A 24,000-nucleotide genomic window follows, 5' to 3' on the forward strand; every position below is an offset into this window, starting at 1 on the left:
GATCTGAAAGGATCATCTCCAAGCGTTTATATCATGCTTGTCATTCGTTTATCAGAGGCCAAATGTTTTTCTTTGTAAACGTGTGTAAAACATTCTCAGAATTTTAAACAATAACAAATCAGGGCTGAATGTGGCCAACATGCAAAGAGGAAATCTCCCATCTGTCCAAATCAAACAGTTGTATTATTAGAAACTGAGGGCTAAAAACTGTGCACATACACAGACACACATATTATTTTAATATAGATTTTCAATAATTGGTCTAGGATAAGGATAATATACAGAGAACATGCCAAAAGTTTAAGCAAGAAGAAAACAAAGACTGTTACTATGGAAAAATGAAAATAGATTTTAAAACATGTTAATTCACGTTACTTTTTGTTAAATTTACTTTTCTTCTTTCACTTCTTACCTGTCAATGTTATTAATATTTTTAGGAACAATAAATCACATTAATTCCTTATCTCATGTGAAATTTCATATTTATGATTGATACCTTTAAATGTCATTTGTTGAAGGAAGATTATTCATTTTTTCATTCAATAAATATTTTTTAGAATAATAAGTCCCAGGCACAAGACCAGTATTATGTTCTAGGCATTGGGGATACCATGTTCACAAGACAGACTATGATTTACAGGATCAGATGTGGACTCTCAAATTCGACTGAGAATAAAACAGACACTAAACAAGTAAATAAAGTTAATTTCAAGTTGTAATTGATGCTAGAAAGACAATGAAACAGAGCCATGTGACCAATGAGAGAGATGAGGGTGGCAGCAGCCTGTTTTAGATAAGGTACCTGATTGGTGGGATTGGAAGACCTCTCTGAGATTAGTGTCTTCAGATATGCCTTAATGATATGAAAGAACCATTCATGGGAAGGCCTAGCATTAAAAACCGTCTAGGCAGAATGAGCAGCAAGTGCAAGGGTCCTGGATAGGAATGAGCTGGATATACTCAAGGAAGAAAGAGAAAACCAGCATAATGAGCAAATTAGCTCAGGAAAATTTGGCAGGCACTGATTTTCACTGGGCCTTGTAGGCTATGGTTAGCAGCACCAATTTTATTTTAAAGATGATTTGGTGTTTCTAAGCGTATTTTGAATCTTTTCCCCTAAAGAGCATTGACAGCATGGAAAAGCTAGAACTCTCTCTTTAATAAAAGTTAACGAATAGGAAAGAAAAATAGATAGAATCAGGCCTATTCTAACATTTAAAAAATCACAGACTCCTCTTGTTTTGAAAAAGAAATATATAATCCAGCCAAACTGTTTTCTGCTCATCTCTTTAGGCTATTGTTAAACCCATGACGAAAAGGGAAATTTCAGGTTAGATTTCACACCCCTGGGGGCTGATTTTTACATTTTATTGAGTTTGGCTCCTGGATCATATGATTTGAAAGAGCTGATTTTACTCGGGTATTACACAGACACAGACTAAATAAATTTGCAGCATTTCAGGAAATCCATTGTTTTTATTCTAGTTGGTTGACAGAGTTGAGCCCCTTTCTTGCTCACTTGAGAAATCGCCATTCAGAGGCCTTACCTCACTTGAAATTAGCTCATGATTGACATTCTCAAAGCTAAGCAATAAGTTCCCAAAGAAATTAATAGCACTTTAAAGAATCATTAAATAGTATTTTAATTTATCTTCCTAAAGTCAATAACTTTATTCTGATTACTGAATAAAATTGCTCCTGCTGTGGATCTGTGCTTTAAGAAGTGTTTCCAAGAAAATGCACTGTTTAAGTAGAATGTAAATACAGGATTACTGATGAACGCACAAGCAGAAAAAAAAGTATGAGAAGGTAAAATCCTACCCTAAGAACAGCATAACCAACATTGGAAAGTGGGAAGAACAATTAAATAAAATAGGCGATATTACAGGTGAAAAAGGTGGGCTTGCTATAGATTTAAATTGTATAGAAGAGAGTAGAAATACATTGAAATAAAGATATAGAGCAAACTTGTTCAAGCCATGGCCCGTGGGCCACATGCAAACCAGGACATCTTTGAATGTGGCCCAACACAAATTTGTAAACTTTCTTAAAACATTGAGATTTTGAATTTTTTTTTTTTTTTTTAGCTCATCAGCAATGGTTAGTGTTAGTGTACTTCATGTGTGGCCCATGACAATTCTTCTTCCCGTGTGGCCCAAAAAAGCCAAAAGATTGGACACCCCTGAAGTGAAATATATTCCCTTTTATTTTAGACCAGTTAACTAAATTGCCTGAGCCTGCAATTTCTCATATGTAAAACTAAGGTAATAAAAGCGATACGAGTCTGACTCTATCATAGGAAAGAAAGGAAGTCAACTCTATTTTATGAAAAATTTACGGTACAATCCTGATCTGTCGTGAATAAGAGGAGAGCTAAGCTGTAAGCACATCTAAAACAAGCCACGTGTTTATCAGACTTCCCACTCTTCTTCCCTCCTGCTCCAGTACGTCTTCCATTCATTTTTTTAAAATAAGAGTTTTCTTGAGATACAATTATATATCATAAGGTTGACCTTTTTAAAGTGTTTAATTCAGTGACTTTTTAGCAAATTCTCAAACTTGTGCAACCATCACCAATAATTTCAGAACACTTTCATCACTCCCCAAAAAACTTCATACCTATTAGCAATCACTCCCCATTCTCCCTCCCTCCAGCACTAGGCATCTGCTAATCTACTTTCTGTCTCTTTGGATTTACCTATTCTGGATATTTCATATAAATGGAATCATATATAGCCATTTGTATCTGACTTTTCTCACTTAACCTAAAGTATTCAAGGTTCATTCATATTTACCGTGTATCATAACTTTGTTTCTTTAATCTCTGCTTCATTCTTCTTTTCTCTGTCAATGGAAGGCCTTAGCTGCAATGGCCCACATGAAGGAAAACATGGCTGCCAATACATCCAGAGCTTAACTTCTTACAGATTCACACAATGAAGAGAATGGTTATACTCTCTGGGATCCAAATGCAGAGAGAAGAGCTCAGGATGGATAAACTTTGATAAGGCTCATCTTTAGATCAATCCATGAGACTAATGTACAAGTAGCTTAGTTTTGGTTCTTCCTTGGTATCAACCAACCGTAACCAGGGAAAAATTTACCAGGTTATAAAATTGTCAGATTTGAGGAAGCCTTTTGAAATAGAGGTGGAATTGGATCTGGGAGGTACATTTTTCAGAATATTTGGGGATAGTTGATGAGTAGATGAAATAATGTGCTTAGTATAATACATATCTGTCAAACTAGTGAAGAATAAAAAAAATTAATAAATTAAATACATACCAGTATAAAACTGTCAATTGGCATATCCAAGAAAAGCTTAGATATTAAAAAGAAATCGTGGAAGGATAGTGGAAAAAAAAAAACAGTTGCCAGGATTTTGATGAGTGAAGATTATAAACATTTTCCTTTAATGAGCACTGATAACAACATTTAACTCTTTATCTAGGAAAATGTAGAGTTTTGTGAGATGGAGTCAAAATTTCTAATTTTCTTTGAATCAAAAGAAAGGATGTATTAAATATTGATTAAGGCAGCTTTTTATTTTATTTCAATAACTCAGTTCCTTATTTACCATAAGCATCCTAAAAACAGAGGTGTTTTTAAACACCTTATGCTACCATCACTAATAATATTGATCAATTTCTAGCACAGATTGTTGACTCACTTAAATATTGTGCTGCAGCATTTTTTCTCCATAGCCTATAAAATATTTGAAAAAATCCTTGCATATTATAAAATTAGCATCTTTTTATCAGTAGTTTTTCTGGTTGCAAAGGAGGTTATAATTGGAGCTTGCAAATACTGACATTTTAAAACTAAATTGTTAAATCATTTGTTCAATTAAAACTATTCAAATGTAAATATCATAGCTATTTGGTACCTATCATTATAAATTTTAAAAATATATGAGAAGATAATCAGAAATTTTGCATTACTTATTTTGAAATTATACTTCCAATCTAGTTCTACCAAAAAATATTATTCATATTTTATAATCTTACCTAAATAGGTTACATATGGAACATCTTGTCATAACTATAACAAAAGGATATATATATATTTGGAATTAAATAACATTATTTTCTGTAACTCTAACTGTAAAATTTTTCAAGGTTCAGTTATTCAGATTATTATTGAATAAATATGTTTAATATATTAAACATAAAAATAAAATGTATTTGAAAGTGTGTGTGTGAAAATTGGTGTGATTCTAAAATTAGTTGGTGTATACGTAGATGAATATTTCCATCGCTGGAATGAGACAGGACTCAACATAAATTATATAGTTAGTTTTCACATTGGGAATATAAATTGTATGAACTTCAGTTACCTATAAATAGTTACATAGAAAAAAAGAAGTCTATCTCTGGATTTATCACTTAATTTTTTTAATACCCCTTCAAAGTTTTATATTAAAGTTACAATAAAACTTACCTTAAATACATATATGTGTGTGTATGAGTGCGTGCACGTATGTGTCACCCAGACTGGAGTGCAGTGGTGCAATTATGACTCACCGCAGCCTTGGCCTCCTGGGCTCAAGCAATCCTCCTGCCTCAGCCTCCCATGTAGCTGGAATCAAGCGCAGATAATTTTTCTATTTTTTTTTTTTAAGAGATGAAGTCTCACTTTGTTGACCAGCTTATCTTGCACTCCTGAGCTCAAGTGATCCTTCCACCTTGGCCTCCCAAAGTGCTGAGATGACAAGTGTGAGCCACTGTGCCCGGCCAAAAACATTTTAAATAATATACCAGATTATATCTTATTTAAATTATTTCTAATTTTGTTGCATGAAAACAAGTTGTGTGAATTGCAAAAAGTTTTATTATACAGTCATAAGAGTAATGATCTTTTTAGTTACCCTAAGAATAAGTGTCCCTCAGTTTTGTGCCTGGATGGGGGGTTTTTACCCTTAAAAAAGTAAGAATCAGGATGGGTGAGTGAGATGTGTTTATTTCACAACTTGGGTAAAGAAACGACAACAGTGAAAGGGGTAACTGGAAAGGAGTAACAGAAAACTATGTTCTCCAGGTAGATCAGTTTTACACTAGTACAGATGGAAGTTGAGGATATGGATCCCGATTCCTTTAAAAATTCTGGGTCTGCTTAAGTCCAGACCCAAAGGTCTGAGTGCCTCGGTTTTAAGACAGCTTGTCTTGAATGGTGGTCTCCAAATGAGGTGCATGAATCCAAAAGGATGCAGAAGACCATCCACAACAACGCACAGGAATAAACCGACGCTATATTTATATTTTGACCCAAATTTAAAAAATTTTTTTTTACATTATAAAATATATGCATTCACACTGATATCCCTTGTATCTAGCATTATAGTAAGTCCTGGGGAGAGTGAGTGCCACATGATCACTCATTTGTTTTCAGCATATTGCCACAGATTGAACGCCATTGTTTGCTTATGTGAATTTTGGGCTCTTATTATTATAAGTAACAGAATCTTTATAACTCTGATATGAAATGGAAAACGATCATGAAAAATTTTGTGTATCCCACATAGATTCACCAGTTACTGCATGACAAAATATTTAAAGAAGTTGTTGAATATAAAACTTGACCCAAAAAAGAATTTTAAAAAGCATAAAATACTATAATACATTTTACTATGTGAAAAATTAAGAAGGTATACTCATCAAAAATACCATAAAAAGTATATAAAAGTAAGCAACAATTCAAGAACATATATTTCTAACTCATATTGCATATTCTTTTTTTTTTTTTTTTGAGACGGAGTCTCGTTCTGTCGCCCAGGCAGGAGTGCTGTGGCGCGATCTCCGCTCACTGCAAGCTCCGCCTCCCGGGTTCACGCCATTCTCCTGCCTCAGCCTCCCGAGTAGCTGGGACTACAGGCGCCCGCCACTGCGCCCGGCTAATTTTTTGTATTTTTAGTAGAGACGGGGTTTCACCGTGGTCTCGATCTCCTGACCTCGTGATCCGCCCGCCTCGGCCTCCCAAAGTGCTGGGATTACAGGCGTGAGCCACCGGCATATTCTGAATGTACATTTAACTTCTACAGATCAGTAAGAAAGCATAAAATACCCTGCTACCACCATTTTACATAAAAGGAATTAATAGAAATTTAACAGAGTAGGATACAAAAATGGCTCTAATCTTAAAAGATGTCCAATCCTAGTAGTAATTAGGAAAATGAGAATTAAAACCAAAATGAAATACCCTTTCATATCCACAATTTGTCAATACCATGTGCCCATGAGAACGTGAAACAACAAGAATCATTTTACTATTGCTGGCATAAGTAAAAAAGTGGGCAACATATTTGGAATATGGTATGTATCACACAGTAAGGTTGAACATGCATGTAGCATGTATCCAAGAAAGCCTACTTCTCAAGAGTTAGGTGTTAGAAGCTTTTACACGTTTTCCCAAAGGTATGCATAATAAAGTTCATAACAACCTTGTTAATAATAACAAAACAAACAACATCCGGCCAACCAAACAAAATACTTTTGAACAATCCTAAAGTCCATCAGCAGTAGAAATAGACAAATAAGTGGTGGTGTATTTATACAGTGGAGTATGATTTGATAGTGAAAATGGGTTAATGAGAATCATAGGCATCAGTACATTAAAATCATGGAGATGTACTATTGGGCAAAAGAAGTCACGAATAAATATATGGTATGATTCTATTTATATAAAGTTCAAAGCCAAATAAGCTACTGTTTATGATTTTCTACATATATGTATGTATAAAATCTGTGAGGAAAGCCAGTAAATTCAATATTATGGTTAACTGGTTGCAGGAGGAGGCACTGGAAGTGGGCAAGTAAAGTCATAGATAAGGAGCTTTTAGAGTACAAGGTTTTATTTATTAACTTGGTAGTGGCCATATGGATATACACATTTTTTATTGTTTTAAAATTATACTTGTAAATTTTCATTCACTTTTGCATATGTGGCTTATTTTACAATTACAAAAATTATTATTGCCCTCAGGGAGGGAAAGAATATGAGTTATGGATATTTCTTTTACAAAAAGACAAATGTTTCAAATGTGCTGCCCTTTTCTGCAAAAGATGACTGACCAACATTTATATGTTGCCAAAGACATATTTGGGGATGGGGAGTGAGAAACACATTTTATGTAACCTTCAAAGTAAAAATAGTGTTTGTAAAAAGGACATAAGAGAGAATTTTTCAAATTCTTTTAGAAAATTTTTATCATTACAAGATTTGTGGTAAAAAATAATGTGCCTCACCTATGAAAATTATGTGTACACATAAAATTAATTTGAGAAAAGAGTATTGTTAACTACTTTTCAAACATTCCAAATGAAAATTTTCAATGGGTTTTAAACAAGTTTATTAACATTATTAAAATAATACAACTTCCCGGTGATAGGTGCACCAAAATCTCACAAATCACCACTAAAGAATTTACTCATGTAACCAATACCACCTGTTCCCCAATAACCTATGGATATAGAAAATAAAAATAAAATGGTACAACTTCAAAAGAATATTCAGGAAAAATCAATTGAAATCAAGGAAGACGAAAATTTTCTAGCCAAATTGCAAAAATTTTTGATCTATGTATCATTGTGAATTTTCTAGTTATAATGGCAGCAAAACCAAGCTTGAAAGCCAAAAACACCCTCAAAATCATAAAATACTCCCTCTGAATGAAGTTAAAAGAAAATAAACATAAGATATGTTTAAATTGGTGTATCATACATTACTAAACAAATATTCTAAAATTCATGAAGCAAATTTAGTTATGTTGCACTTACTACAATGTTGGTATTTAAAATGGTTTCTACCATTAATAGAAAAATTAAAAATTCCTTAAATATTATATTTCAAAAATACTGATTTCAATTTTATCAATTTATTTCAAAATCGTATTTCAAAGCTAACAGTTTAGCTCACCTTTTAAATGTATATTTAGGGTATGCATAATGAACAATAATTTTCTGCCATTCCAGTGGTTTATGCATGTAATTTATATATGAATAAATATATGCATATTGTATGTTCATGCTACAAAACTATAGTGATAAGAGTGCATGATTCTAAAAAGTTTGGAGACCAATGGTCTAAAAATCTTTCGGCAAATGAAATATTAAATTTGGGTTTCTTGCCGTTCACCATAGACATGCGGCCAGAGGACCAGATTAGCCATCAGATTAAACATGTATTAAAATTCCAAGTCCTTTGCCATACAAATCTGTATTCTTTTACAGGTATCAACTTTGCAACGTAATTGTTTTAAATATTAATATAGTTTGTTTCATTCTTCAGCATGAGTTGCATAGAGTTTGCAAGTGTTTTCTGGTTTTTCAATATTCAACGTACCAGTAGTTAAATAGTATGTTATATAGACTATAAGAGTGATTGAATTTCTAAACAAGCAGGACATGATTCAGAAGGATGAATAATTTCTAATACATGAACTGTATAACTATGATTTTAGGTCCTTTGTAGTTCCAAACATTACAAAAACATTTTATATTTCCCCATGTGAAATGTCTTCCCTATTTCTTCTGGAAAATACTTTGAAAGTCAGCGGCAGTGGCTCACACCTGTAATCCCAGCACTTTAGGAGGCTGAGGTGGGTGGATCACCTGAGGTCGGGAGTTCGAGACCAGCCTGGCCAACATGATGAAACACTGTCTCTACTAAAAATACAAAAATTAGCTGAACATGGCGATGCACGTCTGTGATCCCAGCTGCTCGGGAGGCTGAGGCAGGAGAATCACTTGAACCTGGGAGCTGGGAGGCGGAGGTTGCTGAGATAGCGCCACTGCACTCCAGCCTGGGCAGCAGATTGAGACTCTGTCAAAAAAGAAAAAAAAAAAGAAAGTCAGTCAGCAGATGCACCAACTACTGGAGGAATTTTCCCCTTTTCCTCAGCCAGATTCAGTCTTTTTTTCTTTGCTTTTCTCCCTCCTTCTTGTATGTTTCATTAGATTTTTAATTATTCTTATTACTTTTACCATAATGAATTGTAATTGTACGTAGCCAGTTGTTGTCATTTGCGTTTGAATTCATTTATGAATTGCAAATTATTTGAGGACAGACTTTGTCTTATTTAAACTTGTAAGAGATGATTCAAGAATTATTTCTGAATAAATAAAATAGGCATACCTTCAGCATTCCTTAAGTCAGTGTTTCATAAAAAAAATTCAGAAGAACAGTACTATCTTGATAGTCTCTAGGTAAAAGAGTTCCATTGTCAAATAATCTTGTTTGGTACGTAATAAATATTACACTTCCCTTCTGAAAATCAAAAATGCACAATAGTCAGAATTCCTACCATAAATAAACCTGTTTAAATTTCTTAATTCAGTATTTTTCAAATAAATATTGCAAATCTCTTTTTTTTTTTCCTGGAACACACATTAATGTCCTGTGGAAGTGGTTTTTCTATGTAATAATACTCTGGGAAATGCAAAAATGCTACATTTCAACATTTATATTGTTCAATGTGCATGCAGAGAAAGTAATTAAGGGGGAGAACTATAATTATACTTATGTTATTCAGGGGGCCATGCTGCAGCTAAAGGAAAGGAAATGAATTCTAAATAGTTAAATTATTTATCCATGTAGAACCGTGTCTTTTGTTTATATTAAAAACATATGTTGTAAATTGAGAGATAAATTTTATTCCATGTACATTTTTAAAGGAGAAAGATATGACTTTGTCTAAGAATGACTATCATATGAAAATGAAAAAATTAAGCTTTAAATTAACTAAATCAACAGAACTCATAAATTCAGCACAACAAATTTATGCTGCCCTCCATAGTGTTAGCCATCAGAATTGCCATATTTAAAACCATGATGTTAAATATCTCTGAGGAAAGTTCACCAATCACAAAAGGAAATCATTCTCATCTATTAATTTTGGGCATCAAAGAGCATTATGAATTTGATCACCAATTTTATTCTTCAAATTTAGATTTTAATTCTTAGTCTATTCTTCTTAAAGAAATTCTTAAATGGTATAAATTGTTACTGCTGAAGTTTCGCAAAAGGACTTTATTGAGCATATGAAAGTAATTTTAGTCGATAAGATTGATTCCAAAATAAAAATTGACATTTAAATATCAGTTTCATTCCTTCAAATAGCTGCCATGGTAGGAGTGCTTCTAAATGAATTTAGTAATGAACATGTTAAACGTTTGAGATACTCTTAGGATTACATATTTTATTAACTAAAAGAGACTATTTAAAAGAAATATCTTTTAGACAATTGAAATGCTAAAAATTGCAAATATAGGCCTGCGCGGTGGCTCATGCCTGTAATCCCAGCACTTTGGGAGGCTGAGTCGGGCAGATCACGAGGTCAGGAGATCAAGACCATCCTGGCTAACACGGTGAAACCCCGTCTCTACTAAAAATACAAAAAAAAAAAAAAAAATTAGCCGGGTGTGGTGGATGGCACCTGTAGTCCCAGCTACTCAGGAGGCTGAGGCAGGAGAATGGCGTGAACCCCGGAGGCGGAGCTTTAAGTGAGCCCAGATCGCGCCACTGCACTCCAGCCTGGGCAACAGAGCGAGACTCCATCTCAAAAAAAAAAAAAAAGAAAAGAAAAAATTGCAAATTTAGATCATCTTTATTCATTCTTTCAAAAAGTATTAGTTACCTATATAACTAAAATGAGTTAATACCACTGAAAGATTAGTTTTAGAATATCTGTGTGGATAGTAAACCAGCATAGTGTTTCGCTTTTTTTTTTAGTATCAGAAAATGCTATTTGATGAATGTTTTTTCACATGGAAAAAAATGACTTGTTTTATTCAATCTCAAACATGTGATTTACAAGGCAAAAGGGCTGGAATAAACATAAAAACACAAGAATCTGACCCATAAGGCTTTGAAGCTCTTTATACTGCTGATTGGGATCCAGTCCTAGTGTATTAATATACATTCTGCAAACTCTTACTCTTTACATTTGTAGAAATCTTCAACACTAATGAAAGAAGGAAGTAATTTTCAATATCCTATATATATTATTGTGTTCTTTTGGAGAAGAGGTCAAAGGATAAAAGTCTACTTTCTTCCAAAGAAGCATCAGAATTAAGGGGAATGTATCTTAATAATGAGGAAGCATAACATTTTCTACCCTTTTACATGATTAAATTGTCTAAAGTCAGTACACGTGTACCATATGAAAGACTGTGAAATCACCAAGATTTAGGAGAAAGTACTGGGCTAATTTTTACCCTTGAACCAAATATCTCTAAGGGATTTTCTGTCATAGAAGAAAAAGAAGGAGAAAAAAAGAAAGATGGGACAAGAAAGAGAAAACTAACTTTGTACAGACTTTTGGAACACATACTTTTGCTTTTTAGAAACTTCTTTGCATGGAGTTCTCTTTCCTGTGCAAATGTTATTAATAACACATACGTATTATTAATATAAATATAGACTGGAACTGAGAAGGATATTTAACAAAGAAAAGCTTATGAGTAGTGAGAGGAAGGGATGAAGTTGTTTATAAAAGCTGGAAGATGCAACGTTCTTTCCATACATAGTGGAGTCTTGCATGTTTATTTTAATACTTGAGTTTGTTAGCTTTTTTGAAGTATTTATTAATGGCGCTTACTCTGGTTTTCAATAAAATCCATAGCTGCTTCCTATTTCTATATATACAGCACTGTCATTGTGTGAATTTTCAACAATTTACATATTTTTGCTTAAGTCAAACAAATTAGTTTTATATTTTTAAATTTGAAAGACTGATGACTTGAAATCACACATTCATTTCTACACATTTACATGCACAGTCACAGTACTAATATGTAGACATGACTATAAATCATGCCAAAATAGAATGCACTGAAGCATATATACTGCAGTACCTGCAGTCTATATAGTGTGACCCTTGTTTAAAAAATGCCAGTTTCACAAAGGAAAATGTTAACTTGTCTGAGAAATATTCTATTGACTTAAAATTTAATTCTATAATCTAGCCTTTTCTTGCTTTTAAGAATGTCAGCCATAATTGCTAAAAATGAAGTTTTAATCAAACTTGGTGCTTGGGCCAAATAGTCACAATTGGGAAGGGGAGTGGGTCATTCAGTGAATTCCAGAGAATAGGCAGATAGAACAAGTGTTTACCAAAAGATGTGGGGGCTACTGAAATAAGAGAAGTTTAAGGAATCAAGAATTGAGCTAGAAACAGAGTTTAGTGAGCTTTAGAGATAAGTCCAAATCAGGAGTCCAGAAAACATATCAGAAAGTAGAGGCATAGAAACTGGCAGGGAAAATTATATGGCTGCAAAGCAGGGAAGGCTTCTGAACAGTCATCTAATATGCAAACTATTGTCTGAGGCTGGTGTTAAGAAATTTATTGAGGGTGGCCTATAGAACATCTGTCAAATAAAGGACTGCCACTTTGGATTGCCTTTGATATTTTCTTTTCAGGGCACATTTTTTCCCCAAGCAAATTAACTTATAAACAATTTGAGAGAAGAAAACAATCTCTTTTAGCTTTTGTCCATTTAAAGGAGAACAAAACAAGGTGTCAGAAGACCTTGATTTTGGTTTTAGTATTTGTATAAGTTTTCTATTGTTGCCATAATAAATAACCACAAACTCTGGCTTAAAACAACACAAAATGCTTATCTCTAAGTTCATAAATCAGAAGTCTAAGTTGGCCCAACTGGTTTCTCTGAGTTTTACAAGGCTGCAGTCAAAGTGCCAGCAGGATAGGCTTTTACCAGGAGGCTCTAGGAAATAATCTGCTTCCAGATTCATTCAGGTTGTTGGCAGAATACATTTCCTTGTGGTTGTAGAACTGAAGTTCTTATGTCTTGCTGATTGTTGGCTGACGGTTGTTCTCAGTTACTAGTGGCTGCCCACATTTTCTGGCTTGTGCCCCTCTTCCTCCATTTTTCACAGTTCAGTCTCCTCTCCTGCCTCAAGTCTCCAGCCTTCCTTTTCTGCTGCATCTCTGTCTGGCTCTGCTATTTTCATTTCCTGCTTTTAAGAGTTCATGTGTGTATTAGTCTGTTCTCATGATGCTAATAAAGACATAGTTGAGACTGGGTAATTTATGAAGAAAAAGAGGTTTAATGGACTCAGAGTGTCACATGGCTGGGGAGGCCTCACAATCATGGCAGAAGGTGAAAGAGGAAGGCACGTCTTACACGGTGGCAGGAAAGAGAGCTTGTGCAGCAGAACTCCTTTTTATAAAACCATCAGATTTTCTGAGACTTATTCACTATCATGAGAACAGCATGGGACAGACCCACTCCCATGATTCAGCTACCTCCCACTTGGTCCCTCCCACTATATGTAGAAACTATGGAAGCTACAATTCAAGATGAGATTTGGGTGGGGACACAGCCAAACCATATCGATGTGATTGCTTCGGGTGTACTCAGATATTCCATGATAATCTCTCTATTTTAAAGTCACCTGACTAGCAAGCAGAATTCCATCTTAACAACAATATCTACATTAGAGTGTGATTAAGTAACCCAGGATGGGACTCTTGTGGGGACATCTTTAGAATTCTGCCTGCAATTGTTTTATGACCAAAAAAATTGTGTGAAGCTGGCAAAGCAGGCATCTGTTTTGTAACTCCTCTTAGATAGTCTCCCATTGAAAAACTCAGAAATTAGGCCAAATAAATGTTAACTTTCACTTCCAGCTGTCTATACCTAAAATCACTTGACTTGACTTTAATATAATGTCATGTAATCAGTTGCTGCCCAGTGAATATATGTTTTTTGAGATGAAATAAATAACCTCAATTGTTGAATACTTGAACTTATACTTTTTGGCTTTGTTTTACAAAATTGTATTATATTAATAAAAGTTCACATAATTTGTTATTAATATATTCTATTATATATCTAAGTAAAAGTTCATATGACATTCTTACAGAGTAATACTGGCACAGAGCTTTTTTAAAAAATAACTCCACTACCAAATTCTCTAACTTCAGGACTGGTAAATCTTGCCTATTATTACATCTTCCAATGCTAGACTTATGACTTCCAAAAATATTCTTTTACTTCTCTATTTTGATGTAGAATGTACCTATTGCTTAGCTACTATAAAAGATGAGAAATTTACCAAAACCGCATTTCTCCACTTACTCACATACTTCATATTGGTGACTGTGGCAGATTGTATTTTCCAAGATAGCCTCATTAAGATCTCCCACCTCTCATCTTACAGCATGATGCTGACTTTCCACTCATCAAGATGTGGGATGTTTTTTCCCTCACCTTGACTCTCACAGACTTGTGAAAACAGTAGAGGTGTTGCTACTTGACTTCCAAGGGTAGGTCATATAAGACAACCAGCTTTCTCCTGGTTCTCTGGGGATGCTTATTCTTGGAATACAGCCAGCATGCTCTGAGGAAACCCAGATCACAAGTATAGGCTATGTTTAGGTGTTCTAGCCAATAGACCTAGTTGAGGTTCCTCCTGACAGCCAGATCCAGCACCAGACTCACAAGAAAGCTTTGGAGATGATTATTGTCCCCATCATCATCTGGCTGTAATGACGAGAGACCCAGCTTGAGAACACCTAGCAGAACCTGGTCAACCCAGAAACATGAGAGACAATAACATGATTATTGTTGTTTTAAGTTATCAGGCTTTGGGTCAGCAACAGGTAACTGGAACAGCTACAGCTGTATTTTATATTCTTAAGTTTTATTGACTCAGCATTCTGTCAGAAGTTCAATTTTAATTTGTTGAATGATTTTAAATATTTTAAAATAAAAATAGAATTTAGTTTATTATGGTTATATATTAATGAATGCAACGTAATAAAGAATAAAGAAATGAGACTAAGTACCTAGGGGAGGAAATGCATGCTTGTCACTAAGTTCCTGAAACCCAAAAATGAATGTCTCAAACACAAAGGTCTGGTAAATTCTCTGCTAATATTTTTATAGTTGTAATCAGCTATCATTCTTCTTGTACCTGAAGACTTCCTCTTTTTATGGCCCTTTTTTATTTTCCATTTTTCTTCCTTACTGTCCTTACTTTTTTTAAGTAAATTTTTTTAGAAATTAAATTACTTAAGGAATTTACTTTTCTTATGTAACTTTTTTATTAGGAATAAATGAGTGGAAATATTCTGGGTTATATACTTTTAAATGTTTTTATTTTATACTCTTGCTTTCTTGATAGAGTGGCTTGATATGAAAATTTAAGTTTAAAATATGTTTTTAATTGAAGACATTGTATTTTTTCTCATGTCCTCTATTAGTCATTAATTGATCTTAATTTCTTTGTATGTAAGCTATTTCTTGATCTCTAATGGGTGTTGGAAATTTTTTTCTTTTCGGTAGATTTTAATTTTTCACCTAAAAGCATTTAGATGTAGGTATCTCTTAGTCTATCCCTTTTGGCAATTGGGAGTCCTTTCAATTTGAAGAACTATGTCTTACGGCAGCTTGGAAAAATATATATATATGTATACTTGATTGATTTCTACCATCTCTTTTCTCTGCTTCTGGATATTTTATAAAATGATCTCCAAGATCTATCATTTCTCTTTTACTTTCTCTCATGCTTTAATATCTGTCTTTAGCTTTGCATTTGGGGAGTTCTTTGTGTTTATGTTGTAGATCACTAGCTTGGTTTTTTAGCCTAACCCATTGTATTATTTAGTTTATTCATTTGTTTTGTCTCATTGTTGGAGATAATATTTGTCATTTTTGTCTTGATATCTAATCGTTTATTTTTAGGAACAAGTTGTTTTTAATTTATTGATATCTCAAATCTCTGTAAAAATACCCTGTGTTTCTTAAGAGAATTCCCCCCAATCCCAAGATATTTGGCAACATCTGGAGACATTTTTGCTCGTCACAATTGTGAGGGTTGCTACTGTTATCTGGTGGGTTGAGGCCACGAAAGCTACTAAATAGCTAATAATTAATTCCTAGGACAGCCCCCTGTAAAAAAGAATTATCTGGCCCTGAAAGTCAACAGTGGCAACGTTGGGAAGCCCTGGAATATAACTATTAGAAATATGAAAAATTCTCATTATTCCATATATCACTTTTGATTCCTCTGGATTTGATGGATATATTTTCTTCTTTCTTTTATTTTGTGGTTTTTCTTCCCCCAAATATGTGTTGATCTTAGCTCCTAGTTCTCAACATGTACAAAGTTGAGTCATAGAATTTTCTCTCTGGTTGTGTTTACCTATTTTCCCAAGAGCTTCTCCTTTAAATGAGAGGGCCAACCACTGATTTCTCTTAGAGAGCAGGGTCATGTCAACAAATCAATACCACTGTAGGGTGCTTAGGTATGGAGCAGGTAGGCTAGAGATCCCTTCAATTATCAAATTAAGAAGAGTTTTACTCTGGAGATAAAGTATTTTACTGTATTTCACTACTAGATGAAATTTTTGTTTTCTTCTTTTACTTGATATTTTCTTGGTGTCTGAAGTAAATGTCTGGAGCTATTTCTTTTTTTTTTTTTTTTTTTCAGTCATTATTTGTTTGTACAGCTGTGTGAATTTTTTTTTTTTATTATTATACTCTAAGTTTTAGGGTACATGTGCACATTGTGCAGGTTAGTTACATATGTATACATGTGCCATGCTGGTGCACTGCACCCACTAATGTGTCATCTAGCATTAGGTATATCTCCCAATGCTATCCCTCCCCCCTCCCCCGACCCCACCACATCCTTCTCTACTTCTCTCTCAGGCCAAAACTCATTCTAGAATACCTCTCCAGACAAGTGTTAGGTTCTAGCTTGGAGGCAAATACTACTGCTGTCAGCCATATCATCTGCATATATTCCAGAGGAGGAGAAAGGAAAAGGTCTCTCTAGGCCCAGCTATTAATAAAGCAGTTGTTTAATTAATTAATTTCCATGATGATTCCCAGGACCCTCTCCTATTCTTTGTGTTGATGTCATTGAGTTTAGAATTTCTCATGGGCTCCATCAGGATTGATTGCTCTCACTTCTGGAATCTTGGCTTGAATTCTTCTGCTCTGTTTTCTCCATTAATCCCATTCCACCTACTTTTTGGTTTCCAGGGTTTGTTAAAACTTTCTGGTCCACTGGTAGCACTTTTTTCTGTTTCCCAACACCATTATTGTATTTTAAAATGCTGATCCTAACCATTTTGATGAAACAGTGTGCAAGAGGAGAAATAAACATGGAAACCAGAAGCTACCCTGAATCAATCATACATCCCAACTTTCATAGATGTTTGTCACTTTTTCATTGTTAGCCCCCCTGTATTAGATCATGTTCCCTGGTAGCACATCTTGAGCATGTCTTCTGCAAGTGATTTATTGACAAATGCTCCTAGGGAAATGGTATGGGAATACAGGGAGCAGGATGGGGGAGGAGGAGGAAAAATGCCAAGTCTGAAAGGCAGAAAACTGCCACACCAAAAGACGTCCAAGTCCTAATCTCTGGAACTTGTAAATACATTACCTTACATGGCAAAATGTACCTTACAGCTGTGAATAAATTAAAGATCTTGAGATAGTGAGATAATCCTGGATTAGCCAGGTAGCCCAAATTTAATCACAAGGGCCCTTAAAAGTGAAAGAAGGAAGCAGGAGTATCAGAGACTGAGAAAGAGTTGAAGATACTATGTTGCTGGCCTTGAAGATGAAGCAAAGAGCCACAACACAGAAAGCATATGGCTTCTAGAAGATGGAAGGCAAGGATGGCAAGGATGTGATTCTTTCTGAGAACCTTCAAAAGGAATCCAGCACTATCAACACTTTGATTTTAGCCCAAAGGAACTAATTTTGGACTTCTCAGGCAAAGTCCATGGGAGAACATCTTTGACCTGATCCCGCACGAGAGTCCTATGGTGTAAGTACTGCCTCAGAGTTGTCCCACTGATGACAAGGGGTTCAGACTTTAATACTGACACACCTATATATTTTCTGGTTATAGTTAAATTCCCAGGTATTTCTGGCTCTCCACCTGAAGTTGGGAGAGCACACGATTGTCAAAAGGGATTCAGAGCTCTGAAATGAGCAGTGACATTATTCGCTAGGCCTCTCTTCACCTAATCTTCCTTTTAGATACTCAGCTATTATATATTCAGAATCATAGAGAGGCGATGCATCTCTAAATGTCCATTTCCAAGCCTAGATCTCCAGCAACCAACTGATTCTCTATAACCCTACTTTCCAGTTTTCTATCCAAAAGAGTTTTATCTTGACTAAAATACAATCCATTTCTATTCCTTGCACCATAAAATATGAACAACAAAGAAAATGTGGGGTGGGAAATCATTCTTCAGAGAAATGAAATGAAGTAGAAGGCAGCAAAAGTCTTTTTCCAAGGTGGGAATCAAACAGCTTATACCATGAAGTGATGACACCTGATTAAAGATATAATCAAAGGTCGTGAGTAATACAGTGTCCTAGAGAGGAAAATATCTGGGCTATTGTGAGTCTGGTGCCAGAAAACAGTATAAATGGTATTAAAAAATCAAAGGCTAAGAGATGGATAATTAATTCTGGATTTGAAAAGTTAACAAAAAAAGATACTCATTTAAATACTAAGTATTAAGCTCAAGGCAAAATTCCAATAACACCCATTTTGATGTCTGAATCTCTGCCCTTAACCTAATAAATGAAACAACCTAAATGAAGTTATTTAACTAATGCATCCTTTTGCCTACTAATGCGTTTATAATTTGATTATGTCTATAAAATGTTGGCACCTGTCCGGATGCTAGAAATAAAGAAAAATAGTACTGTGCGTATTCACAAACAATCTTTGCCTTCAGATAGCTTATAGTCTCATAGTGTAGGACACTTATAAGAACCTAAATATAAAATATACATATATCTTTGTAAACATAAGATATTAAATATATTATTTGAGTTCTTTGATTTCATTATAAGTCTTATAATAACGTAATTCTTGCAATTAGATTATTAGAGATAAGCAGGTTCAACAGGTGCTATGGTTGATTAAATAGTTATCTTGAAAATTTAGGACCGACAAAATGCCCAATCTAACTCACAGATTTCTTCCTACCGACACACTCTTCCTGATTTTACAAAGATGTTTCCTTCAGTTTTTGTTTGAGAAACTAGATTACATATCATCTTCACCATAAAAAAAGTAATCAGATCAATGTGGTAGTTAAATACATAAACATTTAACCAGCTGTTTATTATTTCACCTATCTTTCATTTTACTCATATTAATATAAAATTCAGACAATTGTGTAATGAGAATTCAAGACTCTCATTGGTATAAGAAATGAGCTTGAAATTTAATTTTCATATTGACACTTTATATAATCTTAGATTTGGAATTGTTGGTTTGAAAATAAGATTCCATTGACAAAATAAAACTATTTTGCTATCCTAGAAACTATTCTAACTTATATTATAATTAAATAACACAATCAAGTTGTATCTATTTATGGTAATTGAGTAATTAAGTTATATTTCTTTGTAAGAATTTCCCCCGAAGATACTCAAATTTAAATCTTTAAGATATTTATGCTTAATTTTCCTAGGTTTGAAATTGTATCCACAGATTTTGTGGTAAAATGGAAGTTTTAGCAGCCTAACAGAATGCTGATAAATTGGCTCTATGTCTCTGGTTTGTCAATTTAGTTGCTGAAATCTAGAAGACAGCAATCATGATTCAACTAGATTGACCCTTTTCGTAAGCCAAAATTACTTCAGTCAAAATTTTAAAATGTTAATATATGATTTTTAAAAGATCCTCATCAACATTCAAGACTAATTGAAACGATTAATATAATCCAATGACCAATATTTTATAGGTCTTTCTCTATTGCTTTTGAAATACTTCTCTTAAGGATTTGTAGTATTCTTCCTCTGCTAACAAAAAAAACTGCTATGGCATTTATTTGTTTTTGTTTTTGTTTTTGTTTTTGTTTTTGTTTTCACAGGGAGTCTCACTCTGTCACCCAGGCTGGAGTGCAGTGGCGTGATCTCAGCTCACTGCAACCTCCGCCTCCCAGGTTCAAGCAATTCTCCTGCTTCAGCCTCCCAAGTAGCTAGGATTACAGACGTATGCCACCATGCCCGGCTAATTTTTGTATTTTTTAGTAGAGATGGGGTTTCACCACGTTGGCCAAGCTGGACTCGAACTCCTGACCTCAGATGATCTGCCTGCCTAGGCCTCCCAAAGTGCTGGGATTACAGGCATGAGCCATTGTGCCAGGCCTATGGCACTTATTAACTCACTTTTCATTGGTTTTATGTGGCATACAGAACTTTTAGCCAATTATCAATAGTTTATTAGTTTATCATTGCTGCTCCTGTTTCAGAAGTTTGTTGGTTTTTTTGTTTTGTTTTGTTTTTTGTAGCAGCTAATGTTGTTTTTGCCATGGAGCTACAGACACAATGCCATTGGTTGGACTTTTATAAGGAAGAACATAGCTAGGGGTTCAAACTCAATATTACAGAAAGTAAATCCTTCAGGATCAAGTCTTGGCCAAGAAAAGTCCAGTAACTGACCCCATTTGTATCTCCATATTACCCAACTGTACAAAATCTCTTCTCCACTGAATAGTTTCCAAATTTCCTGTTATCAAATGTATCAGTTTCAATTTGTATCTGAAGTTTGTAACTTCATATTTAGTCTTCATTTTATTGACACTGAAATCTATTACTTGAGGTAAGATGAAACACTGAATTAATGATCTCACCCTTACAACTTCCCAGACATAAACATACTGAGAGCAGAACCAATCAAGAATGACACCTAGTGATACATGGTATTTGGTTTTTTAAGGATAATAGAGAAGAGACAAAAGGAATTTCTGGCCTCAGAGACCCATGCAGACATTCCTAAACTGGACTAGCAAGAAATATGAGACTTCCAATTACCTGAGAGGGAAGGAATCTGAATTGGTATGCTGTTCTAAGAAAAAATTATTATCTTAGCAAGAGGGCTAGGGGCAGACAAAGAGGGACATAGTCTTTCTATTCTACATATTTTCCAGGACCAGCCCTTGAAGGATGTCACCAAGTGAATACTTTCCTAATGGATTTCTTTCACTATAGTATACTCTTCCAGAAAAATTTCCAGTTATAAGTGTTTTGAGTTTGTAAATGAAGTTTTAATCTTATATCTCTCACCCAAAAAATAATCAGTCATGTCAAAAATAACCTTATGTTACTTAAAACATAAACAGCCAACAAACAGTCAAATAACTGTATAATACAACTATACAGGTAAGAAACAGATATCTGTATATATGAATATATAGTTGTATACAGGTACACAAATTATAAAACAAAATATATTAGCTAGTAAGAGACAATATCTAAGTCTCAGGATTTTTCTACCATGTAATTAAATTATAAACTCTCCTTTTTCCCCCAAGATCTTTACTAAGTATTTACTTAAAAAGAAATTTTAAAAATATTTTTGGGAAATAATTTAATCTTTAGGTCCCCCAAAGTGACATTTTGAGAACTTTCAACAGAAACACATTAGTTGTTCTTAATTGCCATAAGTACTCATGGAAGATAAAGTACATGATATAGGACTATACATTTACTTTCTGCAAAATTAAAGAATAAGAGATAATGTGAAAGTAGTTTCAACTGTAAGTAAATGTTGTTGGTTTAAAGAATATTATAATAATCACTTCTGATTTGACAACCATAATGAAATTTACTTGATATGAACAGCAAAATTAACTTTAGTTTCTTCCTCTTTTATTATAAATGTAATATGGACTGTCATCTTAAAAGTAGATCTTGAGTTTCATTCCTATGGAAAAATAAACATATATTTATTCTAGAAATAAGCTGTAAAATACATTGATCTCTGTGCTTGCCCAGAGCTAACATTGCTGAGAAATGAGAGCATAGTAATATTTACATTGAGAGCCTTTCTTATATCAACAAAGTGTCAGTCGGTGGAGCCAAGATGGCCGAATAGGAACAGCTCCAGTCTACAGCTCCCAGTGTGAGCGATGCAGAATACAGGTGATTTCTGCATTTCCAACTGGGGTACCAGGTTCATCTCACTGGGGAGTGCCGGACAGTGGGTGCAGGACAGTGGGTGCAGTGCACCGTGCATGAATTGAAGCAGGGCGAGGCATTGCCTCACCCAGGAAGCACAAGGGGTCAGAGAATTCCCTTTCCTAGTCAAAGAAAGGGGTGACAGACGGCACCTGGAAAATCAGGTCACTCCCACCCTAATACTGCGCTTTTCCAAAGGGCTTAACAAATGGCACACCAGGAGATTATATCCCGCACATGGCTCGGAGGGTCCTACATCCACAGAGCCTCGCTCATTGCTAGCAGAGCAGTCTGAGATCAAACTTCAAGGCAGCAGAGAGGCTAGGGAAAGGGTGCCTGCCATTGCCGAGGCTTGAGTAGGTAAACAAAGCAGCCGGGAAGCTTAAACTGCGTGAAGCCCACCACAGCTCAAGGAGGCCTGCCTGCCTCTGTAGGCTCCACCTCTGGGGGCAGGGCATAGGCAAACAAAAGGCAGCAGTAACCTCTGCAGACTTAAATGTCCCTGTCTGACAGCTTTGAAGAAAGTAGTGGTTCTCCCAGCATGCAGCTTGAGATCTGAGAAAAGACAGACTGCCTCCTCAAGTGGGTCCCTGACCCCTGAGCAGCCTAACTGGGAGGCACCCCCCAGTAGGGGCACACTGACATCTCACACGACCAGGTACTCCTCTAAGACAAAACTTCCAGAGGAACGATCAGGCAGCAGCATTTGCAGTTCACCAATATCTGCTGTTCTGCAGCCACCACTGCTGATACCCAGGCAAACAGGGTCTGGAGTGGACCTCCAGCAAACTCCAACAGACCTGCAGCTGAGGGTCCTGACTGTTAGAAGGAAAACTAACAAACAGAAAGGACATACACACCAAAAACCCATCTGTACATCACCATCATCAAAGACCAAAGGTAGATAAAACCACAAAGATGGGGAAAAAACAGAGCAGAAAAACAGGAAACTCTAAAAATCAGAGCGCCTCTCCTCCTCCAAAGGAATGCAGCTCCTCACCAGCAACAGAACAAAGATGGATGGAGAATGACTTTGATGAGTTGAGAGAAGAAGGCTTCAGAAGATCAAACTACTCCAAGCTAAAGTAGTAAGTTTGAACCAATGGCAAAGAAGTTAAAAACCTTGAAAAAAATTAGACGAATGGCTAACTAGAATAACCAATGCAGAGAAGTCCCTAAAGGACCTGATGGAGCTGAAAACCACAGCATGAGAACTACGTGATGAATGCACAAGCATCAGTAGCCGATGCGATCAACCGGAAGAAAGGGTATCAGTGATGGAAGATGAAATGAATGAAATGAAGCAGGAAGAGAAGTTTAGAGAAAAAAAGAATAAAAAGAAATGAACAAAGCCTCCAAGAAATAAGGGACTAGTGAAAAGACCAAATCTATGTCTGATTGGTGTACCTGAAAGTGACGGGGAGAATGGAACCAAGTTGGAAAACACCCTGCAGGATATTACCCAGGAGAACTTCCCCAATCTAGCAAGGCAGGCCAACATTCAGATTCAGGAAATACAGAGAATGCCACAAAGATACTCCTCGAGAAGAGCAACTCCAAGACACATAATCGTCAGATTCACCAAAGTTGAAATGAAGGAAAAAATGGTAAGGGTAGCCAAAGAGAAAGGTCAGGTTACCCACAAAGGGAAGCCCATCAGACTAACAGCTGGTCTCCCAGCAGAAACTCTACAAGCCAGAAGAGAGTGGGGGCCAATATTCAACGTTCTTAAAGAAAAGAATTTTCAACCCAGAATTTCACATCCAGCCAACCTAAGCTTCATAAGTGAAGGAGAAATAAAATCCTTTACAGACAAGCAAATGCTGAGAGATTTTGTCACCACCAGGCCTGCATTACAAGAGCTCCTGAAGGAAGCACAAAACATGGAAAGGAACAACTGGTACCAGCCACTGCAAAAACATGCCAAATTATAAAGACCATCAAGGTTAGGAAGAAACTGCATCAACGAATGAGCAAAATAACCAGCTAACATCATAACGACAGGATCAAATTCACACATAACAATATTAAC

At 35.2% G+C, this 24,000-nt stretch overlaps 2 annotated features.

The window, feature by feature from the left end:
* Positions 3,341-3,510: an enhancer, noted in NCBI's record as "experimental_92273 CRE fragment used in MPRA reporter constructs". NCBI's record gives its function as "activates a minimal promoter by MPRAs in K562 erythroleukemia cells, with activity observed for the non-introgressed 6:55581902 variant allele {active_cell/tissue: K562}" and the evidence as "EXISTENCE:reporter gene assay evidence [ECO:0000049][PMID:34662402]".
* Positions 20,147-20,316: an enhancer, noted in NCBI's record as "experimental_92293 CRE fragment used in MPRA reporter constructs". NCBI's record gives its function as "activates a minimal promoter by MPRAs in K562 erythroleukemia cells, with activity observed for the non-introgressed 6:55598708 variant allele {active_cell/tissue: K562}" and the evidence as "EXISTENCE:reporter gene assay evidence [ECO:0000049][PMID:34662402]".

The sequence above is a fragment of the Homo sapiens genome, chromosome 6, assembly GCF_000001405.40.
Source record: "Homo sapiens chromosome 6, GRCh38.p14 Primary Assembly".
In the NCBI taxonomy this organism is placed as follows: domain Eukaryota; kingdom Metazoa; phylum Chordata; class Mammalia; order Primates; family Hominidae; genus Homo; species Homo sapiens.